Source organism: Homo sapiens, chromosome 15 (genome assembly GCF_000001405.40).
Source record: "Homo sapiens chromosome 15, GRCh38.p14 Primary Assembly".
NCBI lineage: Eukaryota > Metazoa > Chordata > Mammalia > Primates > Hominidae > Homo > Homo sapiens.
In genome coordinates, this window is record NC_000015.10 from 94196379 (window position 1) to 94207774 (window position 11396).

At 38.2% G+C, this 11396-nt stretch overlaps 1 long non-coding RNA gene across 1 annotated transcript; it reads right to left on the reverse strand.

The window, feature by feature from the left end:
* Positions 1-400: 400 nt before the first annotated feature.
* On the reverse strand, positions 401-10512 carry LOC105370984 (uncharacterized). The gene is made up of 2 exons (XR_932640.1): positions 10425-10512; positions 401-723 (listed from the first exon to the last, which is right to left on the reverse strand). It is a non-coding gene; the product is annotated as an uncharacterized LOC105370984 (long non-coding RNA).
* Between the last annotated feature and the right edge of the window lie 884 nt (positions 10513-11396).

An 11396-nucleotide genomic window follows, 5' to 3' on the forward strand; every position in this document is an offset into this window, starting at 1 on the left:
TTAACATTTGACATCCAATATGCTTTAAAATTAGAATTTTTAAAAAAATCTCTTCTGCACGATCTGGGCAGGGCTCTCTCCATTCTCCCCCATGGGTCCCTTCCCCTCCAGTTTATGTGATTTCTTTTACTTCATTGAACTTTTTTCTCTCTCTCTCTCTGTTCTTTTCTTGTGTTAGCTTTCTTTCACCGCTCTGTCTTCACAATGGCTTTTCCCTCTTTCAAGCTCACTTGTGTCTCTTTTTCCCTTTTCCTTTATTTAAATAAACATTAATCATCCTTTAACTTTTAACAGAAAAAGTAGTTATTTTTAGGATGCCTTTTATGACTCACCAAGACAGGGTTAGGTCCCCTGGATTTGCAATCTCACAAGAGGCTGTAGCGTCATTGAAAGTCAAAGCATTTGTACAAAGATGTATTCTGGCAAATTCGAATTCCATGGACCATCATCTTTCACTCTCATCACAACTTTATGAAGTGCTTGGTATTATCACTGTTTGGAAGATGAAGACATGGAGTCCTCAAGGCTTCGGGGATTTGTCCTAGGCTACAGTGGGTAGCAATGGTAGGTGCCAATTTTCTGATCCTAAGTACCCTGAGCTTCTGCTTATTCTTTGCAGGTCGGCTGTGCTGGGGCCTTTATGAGAGTAGATAAATCACATGCTGATGGTTTCAATAATTCCAAACACTTCATTCTGAAAATCCACACAGGAGCTAGCTCAAGCTGCCAAGAAAACATTCAATTAGTGTTCCGTTTGAGGTTGCTTTTTGCTGCACTACCTCAGTCCCTGAATATTCTCTCTTTGGTTTATCAACTGAAATTCAGCGGACTCTCTGGGGCTCACTAGAACACGGTAATAATTAGTCCAAGAATGACAATTCTATTATAACTTGACTTTAATCTCGTGAGATGTTCAGGCACCTTCCAACATTCAGTTCGTAGCTTTATCTAAAGACAGGGCCAATTGTGAGAGGGAGGGAGAGGTCCCTCTATGGAAGCAGATGTAGAAAAGGAAAATTGTGATCTAGCACCATTGCCTTGTTTGTGCATAACACTTGAGGGTTTACAGAATGTATTTGTCATGTATAACTTTATGCTGACAGATAAAAGTTTAGCCAAGGCAATTTTAGTGGAGAGTGGGTGATTCTTATCATGCTTGGTGTGCTCTATGTTTCAAGACTATTGGAAATTACAAATAAAACCCACCTAATAGTCTATGATAAACCATCTTCCCAGTTTGGAATGAGGGAGTTCAGGGACATAGGCCTTTCAAGTGCTAAACCTGACAAAGTCCTAGATAAAAAGAGATGAGTTGCACATTACCTAATAAAAATACCCAGGCATATAATAGAGGTAAGCAAATGACCTATTGACTATTTTTGCAAATAAAATGTTGTTGCAACACAGCTATGCCAATTTACATATAGTGCTTATGGGTGATTTCTTATTATCCTGGCAGATTGAGTAGTTGTGAGAGAGGCTATGACCTGGAAAGTTGAACATATTTACTATCTGCCCCCTTATAAAAAAGTTTGCAACATCTGATCTATACCTTAGCTGAAGATCTTGAAGAGGAGCTGTGCAAAGATAGCTAAAAGATTCACCAATGCGACGAAACCCACATTCTGCACTAAGACCCGTACATATTTTGTTACATCATTGACAGCCACAAAATGGTTTTATATAGTGAAGTTCTGATATGGATATGCATTTACTCCTAAATGAGAAGATAATAATAACTTTTAACAAGAAAGACCAAGAGAATAGCTGCTGTCTAAAATTAGCATCCTATCTAAAATTCTCCTTTTTGTCTATGTTCTCTTTGCCCTGGGATTTAGCTGTTTAATATTAGGACAGTTTGTAGAGCTGTAGAAACTGTCAATGCTTGAAATTTTTCTTTAAGTGTCAAGTTTGCTACATATTTCCAAAGATGACTGCTTTCCCTATCTGTTTCTGCTATGATACTGGCTACCTGTTTTATGTCAAAATATACTCTAGAATTAGATCTTGGGTACCCTACAATTGAACATCTGTTCAATGCAGATAATAGTAGTATTTACTTCACAGGTTACTATAATAGGTTAAAAGACTTAACATAGCAAAAATACTAAGCATCAGAGTGTTCATCGTAAACATTCAGTACATTTAACCTGCTATTATTAACATCAACTTATTAATAACTCCTGGAATCATGACTTGGCTGATTATTCTGGACTTGTGCTTCCAGTTTGGTGATCAAACTAAAACGTGTAACCTGCTGGGCAGAGACATGAATGGGGTGATAATTCCTGTCCTCACAAGTTTTTTTTGAGCAGCATTTGATGGAAGACATGTACATTTAATCTCCTGGGACCCACCCAGTGGGCTACACTTACATGTGAGTTCCAGGTAGCATACTATTTCATTCAACTCAGTAGCTCACTGAGAAAGGCAGAACTGGCCCTTGTACTCTGACTTCACTTAGGAGCACAGTCACCCAGAGAGGTAAGTTACCACCTGATGTCACATAGTCAATGGTGTGAGCATCCGAGTCAGCCTCTTTTTTTTTTTTTTTTTTTTTTTTTTTTTGGCTAAGTCCACAGCTTTCTTAGCTATACTATATTTCCTCATGTGTCTTTTGGGATAATCCCCAGTACCGTCATAAGACAAAAAGTATTATGTAATATTAAATGTTGAAATATTATCCCATTTCTCCATATGAAGGGCAAAACTATTTATTGACCAAAAAATAAAGATAAAATTAAATTCATTCACATAGAACGTGCTGGACCCTAGAACACTACGACTCTGACACTGTTCTCTCAAAACCTCTGAAACCTCATACAGATGAGAGGACATTTTAAGGTAAACACAAGCCTTAGGATATGGGGTGAGGGAAGCCCTTAAGAATCCTACTATAGATACTGACTTACTCCTGAAATAGTTCTTTAGGTAAATATTTCACTGACAGGATAGTTCTTCTTTTCTTCAGATGCCTCTTGTGACACCTATTTTGTCTCAGAAAATTTATTTTGAATGATCAGATAATTTTGAGTTAAAGGGAAGTTTGGGGGTAATTTTGAACAATCCTGTTTTATTTTCAGTGGTGACTGAGGCTCAGTAAAGCTAAGCAATGTGCTCAATGTTGCACCATAAGGAAGCAGAAGTACATTGGTGGGACCTAGACCCCTTGACTCTTGGTTGAGTGTTCTTCCTTCTGTGAGCCTTACCCTTTATGTCCTGTGTCATGTTTTGCTACTGGCTGCAAATGACCATCCAAGTATTGCTTTCTCAGAGAGCTTTGAGCCTGAGACATTCAGTACATGCTACATGCAGATAAATCAAATGTCAGACCCACCTCTTCGGCCTGCCTAGTCTTTGTCTTTGTTGAGATCCAAGTTCTAGATTCCATCCTGACTTCCTTATATTTTTTCCTTTCCTCTGTGACTGGGTTTCTTCTACTATAGAGTGAGACTAATAAAGTTCGCCTTTATCTGCACTCAGAAAAGTATTTAATACAAGATCACTGCATGAAAGAAAATCAATATGTGGTGCAGATTAAATGGTAAAGGAACAAAAGCTCACGGAAGGAACACAAAAGAACCTTTTCTTCTGCCAACCAGCAGCGCTAACTGAGAGAAGCAGACAGTTCTGTATGATATTCTGTAAATAAGTCTGAGGCACAGACTAGTGAAAATCCCAGAGTGAATCTGTGCACAATGGAGACAGAGCTGATGATAGAAAATAGAAAAATGAGCAATGTGCAGAGCAGTCACTTCTTGTAGCATTGCACAGGGCTCAATCCTTTAGCTATATGAACTTGAGTTTGAATCTGGTCTCCAACTCCTGTGAACTTCTTGATGTTGGTCAAGTTGCAAAACTTCTCTGAGCCTCAGTTTATTTTCAATAAAAAATGAAAACTAATATTTACTTCAAAGAATTATGGTGGAGGTTGTAAATAATTCCTGGTGCTGAGCATGAGAAGTGAAGAAATGTTAACTATTATTATGACTATTATTATTATTATTATTACTGCTACTATCATCTTTATTGCCATCATCCTGGTCTAAGGTATCATCCTTTATCCTACCTGGAAAGGATCAGTAATCAGTGAAAACCCTCCACTCCTTATTTCTGCAAACAATTCATATTCTATCGCCTATTGGTTTGTAAACATGGTTCCACGTTCCTTTATCGAAAATCACAGGTTAGATGTGTTTTGAAATTCAGAATTTGGGGATTTTAGAGAAGACATACAAATGTGCTGTGTAGCACATGCTACACAGCAATCCCAGCATGTTTTGGAGCAATAGCCTATAATCAGTTATATTCAGTTTTGTGTCCAGGGTCCCCAAGACCACTTCCAGATCTGGTGATTTGTTAGGAAGACCCATGAGACTCAGCATATATTCATATTCCTTGCTATGATTTATTACCACAAAAGGATACAATGAAAAATCAGCAAAGGGAAACAGGTTAACACAGTGAAATCCAGAGGAAACTAGCAATAAGATTCCAGGAGCCCTGTCCCCGAGGAGTCACGCAGGATGCGCTTAATTTCTCTGGCAACAAGTTGTTGCAAGCCATGTGAAGTGTTGTCCGCCAGAGAAGGTCATTAGGGACTCAGTACTCTGTGTTTTTATTGGGGACTAGGCACATAAATACACTCTGCCTAGCATTTACCAAAACTCCAGACTCCCAGAAGAAAAACAAGTTTTCAGCATAAACCACATTGTATAAACTGTTTAGGGACAGTGAGTCCCTCTTATATCTTAAGGAATGGTAGGGACCCTCCTAAAATCTAAGTTCCCAGATGCCAGTCGAGGGCCAATCATGTAAGCAGGGCTTTCTAACAGTAGCAGTTTCAGGCCTGTTAGGTTAATTTTTGACACAACTTTCTATAGAAAAATATATGAATAATTATACGGAGAGGTATAAATGAAGACTAGAACTTGCCTCATGGCATGTTAGTTCAGGCTTTGCCACCAAACTAACTCAGATTGTGTCAATTATCCCTGTAAACTGTGTCATCAAATTCTTATGTTTTTTTCAGAGCTTGTTGTATTTCTGAATTGCAGATAAGGAATTACAGTTCTATTCTGTTTTGTCTCTCTTTCTTCTCTTTTTTTTTTTTTTTTTTTTTTTTTTTTTTGAGACGGAGTCTCGCTCTGTCGCCCAGGTCGGACTGCGGACTGCAGTGGCGCAATCTCGGCTCACTGCAAGCTCCGCTTCCCGGGTTCACGCCATTCTCCTGCCTCAGCCTCCCGAGTAGCTGGGACTACAGGCGCCTGCCACCGCGCCCGGCTAATTTTTTGTATTTTTAGTAGAGACGGGGTTTCACCTTGTTAGCCAGGATGGTCTCGATCTCCTGACCTCATGATCCACCCGCCTCGGCCTCCCAAAGTGCTGGGATTACAGGCGTGAGCCACCGCGCCCGGCCTCTTCTCTTGCTTCCTTCCTTTATTTTCTTCCTTTCTTCCTTCCTTTACCTTTGTTCAGTTTTATTCTTAAGTAAAATACAGAACAATAGCACAAAAATCAGGAGATGAGAAATAGAAAATTATTACAAAGCTTCTATACTTACATAAAGTGGTATAATATCACTTGAAGGTAGGCTGTGATAAGTTCAAGACACATTCTAGAAAAAGACTAAAATAAAACAAAGAGTATAGCTAATTAATCTAAAAGAAGACAAAATGGAATCATAAAAAAAATATACTCGGCTGAGAGCAGTGGCTCACGTCTGTAATCCCAGCACTTTGGGAGGCTGAGGTGGACGGATCACAAGGTCAGGAGTTCGAGACCAGCCTGGCCAATATGGTTTAACCCTGTCTCTACTAAAAATATAAAAATTAGCTGGGCATGGTGGCGGGCGCATGTAGTCCCAGCTACTCGGGACGCTGAGGCAGGAGAATTGCTTGAACCCAGGAGGCAGAGGTTGCAGTGCGCCAAGATCGCGCCACTGCACTCCAGCCTGGGTGACAGAGCGAGACCCCATCTCAAAAAATATATATATATACACACACACACACACATACACACACACTCAACTAATTCCAAAGAAGTTACAAAAAGAAGAAACGGAAACAAGGAACAGAGAGGACAAATAGGAAATAAGTAGAAAGATGATATATTGAAACCTAATAAAACCAATAATCACATTAAATATAAATTGTCAGAGACACCAATTAAAAATTAAAATGTAAAGTTGGATAAAAATGCAGGAGCTACCTACATGCTGCCTAAAAAAAAAACTTTATAAAGACACAAAAATATAAAAAGTATGGGCAAAAGACCCAGAATATTCAACATAATACTGAAGGAGAAGAACAAACTTAGAGGACTGACACTACCTGACTTCAAGACTTACTTTAAAGCTAGAGTAATTAAGACAGTGTGGTATTGTGAAAGAATAGAAAAATAGATCCATTGAACAGAAGAGAGAGGCCAGAAATAGACTCACATAAATATAACCCACTGATGATTGACAAAGGAACAATAATCCAATAAGCAAAGATCGTTTCTTTCAACAAGTGGCACCAGAACAACTGGACATCCAAATGCACAGAAACAAAAAAACAAACCAAAATGAACAGACAAAAACCCCCAAATTGAGATGCAGACCTAATACCCTTAACAAAAATTAACTCAAAGTAATCCACAGACCTAAATGCAGAATGCAAAATTATAAAACACCTCGATGACAACGTAGGAGAAAATGAAAATTACCTTTGGTTCAGAGAAAACTTTTTAGGTACGATGTCAAAGACACAATCCACGACAAAAAGTTGTTAAGCCGAATTTTATTAAAAGTAAAGATTTCGGCTCTGCAAAAGACATTGACAAGAGAATGAAAAGGTAAGCCACAGACTGGGGTAAAATATTTGCAAAAGACAAATCTGGTTAAAGGACAGTAATGTGAGAAAACATTTTAAATGGTCCACTTTCAAGGCATGATAAGTCTAAGTACTGGCAGCCAGCCTGCAAATGTAACAAATTGCATGGCTCATGAACCTAGAAGGTCACAGTAAGTGAATAGAATGTAGAGGAGGGGTCAGCCCATAAAAGGGAAGAAAGTTTCATTATTGGGAAATCAAAACTTAAGCGGGGACTGGGATGGCATATAACCTTATAAGGGAAATAATAAAACTTAGGTGACGTCTGGGAAGATTGTAACCCCATAGTACTTGACCAATAAGGAACTGGGGGAGGGACTTGCATGCTAGGAGATAAATTACCTGTTGTGACTGCCCAGGATGTGCCTGCCTATCAGACACCTGATCTTGCAAGACCGTTTGCTGTTCTTTGTGCCTCTAAGTCCATTCTTTGGGTTTGGATGGGTGAGTGTGTTTCTCACAAGTAATCCAAAATATGCAAAGAACTCTTAAAACTCAATAATACGACAACAAATACCTGATTAAAATATGGATCAAAGACCTTCACAGACAGCTCACCAAATAAGAAATACAGATGGTAAATAAGCATATGAAAGTATGTTCCATGTCATATGTCACCACAGAAATGAAAATCTGAAGAAGCTACATGCTGTATAATTCCAACTATATGACATTCTGGAAAAAGCAAAACCATGGAAACAGTAAAAGGATTGTAGTTTCCTGGAAATAGGGAAGAGGGAGAGATGAAGAGGTAGAGCATAGAGGATTTTTAGGGCACTGAAACTACTCTGTGTGATACTCTAACTGTATGCATTATACATTTGTCCAAATCCATAGAATGTATAGCTCCAAGACTAAATCCTAATGTAAACTATGGACTTTGAATGATAGTGATGCAACAATGTAGGCTCATCAGTTGTAACACATATGCCACTCTTGTGGAGGATGTAGATATTGTGGGGGTCTATGCATGTGTGGAGGCAAGGTCTACACAAAAATCCTCTGTACATTTTTCTCAGTTTTACTGTGAACCTAAAACTGCTCTTTAAAAATGAAGTCTTTTTAAAAAATAAATAAAAGGATGAAAGAGATATACCATGCTATCACTAAAAATAATTGTAATAGCTATATTAATATCCTACAAAGTAGATCTCAAACAAAGAATATTACTAGTGATAAATAAGTTAATTTCCTGATAATAAAAATGTCAACTAGTCAGGAGGACAAAAGAATCTGAAATGTGTATGTTCTGCATAAAATAACTTCAAAATTTATAAAACAAAATCTGCTAGAACTGTAAGGAAAAAGACAAAATCACAAAAATAGAGAGTTTTATATTTCTCCCAAAATAATTGGGAGAAATATAATATATTTACCAATAATATATCCCAATTATTTTTATTATTTATTATTTTTATTTTATTATATATATTTCCCAATAATATATCCCAACTATTTTGGGAGAAATATAAAATAGAATAAGTAGACTTTATGACTTTCCTAGGATATAGGAAAACTGAACAAATCTATAAACAAACTTGACTTTTTTGACATTATAGAATAACCCGTCTCCAAACACCAGAATATACATTTTTTGTACCATACACGGAACATTTACAAAGACAGACCATAATCTGAGAAAGAAAACAACCGTCAATAAATTTTAAATTATTCATATTGTGCAGTGTGTCTTTGGTAAATTGAGACTTAAATTAGAATTCAAAACCAGAATGATCTCTTGAAAACTCCTAAAATTTGGAATGTAAATAACAAACATCGCTACAATCAAGACATATTTATCATTCTGAAAAACTTTCATACGCCTTTTTGTAATCCCCTCCTTAATCGGAGTGATGGTTTCATTGGTACAGAAATATGTCAAACTTATTAAATTGGACACATATATACGTATATACATACATACACTTAATTATGTCAACTATAACTCAATTTTTTAAAAGTAAGAGTTACAACAAATACAAGTGGAGGATCCCTTTCTAATAACAACATATTTAAATGGGAGTCTGTCTCTTCAATGCACTTGAATCGATATTGATTTTAACGTTTACAATGGTCTGTAAAATAGTTCTTTGACAATTCCCTCTAAATTAGTCTAACTGAAACTGAATTCAACCAGTTAATAGGCTGGCTATTTTTTTTTATGTTTAGATTGAGTTAAATGGTTCTATCTGTGCAAATCTTCCCACTCTTCACTTAAAACCTCAAACACAATAAAAGCCCATCTATAGATACCACTGGGAAATGCGTCATTCAGTGAAGTAATTCCTACCACAAATCCCTGCAATTTGCATACACGCGGGCCCCTCTTTCCCCTGAGCTTCAGGCTGGGAGAAGCTGGTGTAAGAGACAGCCAGCCTGTTGCCAAACTCACTTTATTTGTTCGAGCATATTCCTTTAACACGGGACAGTCGGCTTCCTGTAGTATTTTTCCAAAAAGAAAGTAGGCGTGGCCCATTTTAAGCCTCCAAGAAAATAAACAAATAAATAATTGTTTTCATTTTCCTTTGTTCTTGATCCCTTCCCAAACTAATCTAAAAATGAGTTTTGTTTTATACGAAAAGATCGATGCATGCAGCGGTTTTTTTCCCCTTAAAATCTGGCATCTCTATAAAGAAAAACTGCCTATGTACAGACTGTGTAAGCGAAGAGAAAAAAAGAACTTAAAAAGAAAGAGATTGCCATTTTTAGTCCATTATACATGTATTTTAGAAAACACTTTCACCACCTGAATCCACGGAAGAGAGTCTGAGGTGTGACCCTTTTATTCTCAAAAAGAGAGCAGCAGAGGCCGGGCGCGGTGGCTCACGCCTGTAATCCCAGCACTTTGGGAGGCCAAGGCGGGCGGATCACAAGGTCAGGAGATCGAGACCATCCTGGCTAACACGGTGAAACCCCATCTCTACTAAAAATACAAAAAACTAGCCAGGCGTGGTGGCGGGCGCCTGTAGTCCCAGCTACTCGGGAGGCTGAGGCAGGAGAATGGCGTGAACTGGGGAGGCGGAGCTTGCAGTGAGCCGAGATCCCGCCACTGCACTCCAGCCTGGGTGACAGAGCGAGACTCCGTCTCAAAAAAAAAAAAAAAAAAGAAAGAAAAGAAGAGAAAAAGAAAAAGAGGGCAACAGAGACTTCTGCTAAACCTACCAATGACCACTAGAAGAGTCTGAAAGGCTGGGAGAGACTGAATCTCTCTGAGACCGAGCAGGGTCTCCTTAATTTCAAAACTTATACAGGCACTTTACATGATTGCAAAGGGGCCATGTATTATTTGCCCAGGAAATGCTCTTATGCTTTACAGGGTTTGCTACAGGAGGGGCGAGTAATGACTTAGCAGAACTTCTTCGTGAATTACTGGAAGCCAGCATGTTCCTCCTGCTCTGGCTTGTGCAGGAATAAACCACACACCACTTAACAGGGTTGGTGGTTTTTCTTGTCCTTTCCTGTTTGGAGAAGGACGTTGACAGTAGAGAAAGCCAAGGCACTGACTCATGAACAGTAGAGACTGTCAGCAGAGCAGAGAACGATACCCACCTTCTAAACTTCTCATCTCCATACTTCTGATGAAACAACCAAACAAGAGCCAAAATTACTCTTAAAAATTCTGAGAAATTATAGTGTGATGAAGGTTAACATGACCACTGATGTCATGTGGATATCACATAGCGCCTCCCCACAATATGACGCGACAATGAAGGCACTTCACCTATGTGATACTCTTCCAAAAACGTAGACTCCAGTCTAATCATAAGAAAAATGACAGACCAGCCCACATGGGGAGGTGTTCTACAGTATTCCTGGGCGGTACTTCTCAATACTGTTAAGGTAATGAACAATAAGGAAGACAGATAAACTGTCGCAGAGCAGAGGAGCCTGGGGAGCCATGCAAACTAAATGCAATGTGGTACCCTGGCCTGAATCCTGGAGCACAAAATAGATGCTAATGGAAACACTGATGAAATCCAATACAGCCCAGTGTTTGGCTAATAGTAAACACCAGCATCCGCTTCTTAGTTGTGACAAATGTACCATCGTATTTTACAATGGTAAAATATATCTAGGTTCCATGGGGGAAACTAGATGAAGGATATGCAGGAACTCTGTGTACTATCTTTGCAACTTTTCTGTCAATCTAAAATTAGGCTGAAATTTAAAAACATGATTTTAAAAGCTGAGAAATAATTCTGAGAAAGAATGTTTGTACCTTATTGCAACTTAAATGTCTAAAATGAAAATTTGATGCTCACAAGAATGATGTCTGAATAAATGAAATAAAGTTATCTAAGCAGATGATGTTCTAAATTATTGCCTCTGTGTTCTGAATTCCATTGTGTTCTTGCCCCTAGCCCCCAGCCCAAAGTCAAAAAGTTACTTGAAACTAACAAGTAACTATAGTTTAAAAAATTTTTTAAGTCTTTAGAAAAACATAAATGTGTACGTCTCTGCGACACGAAAGGCCATACAAGTGAAGAGATCACATTGGATATTTTTTTGTGCCCCTCTTGT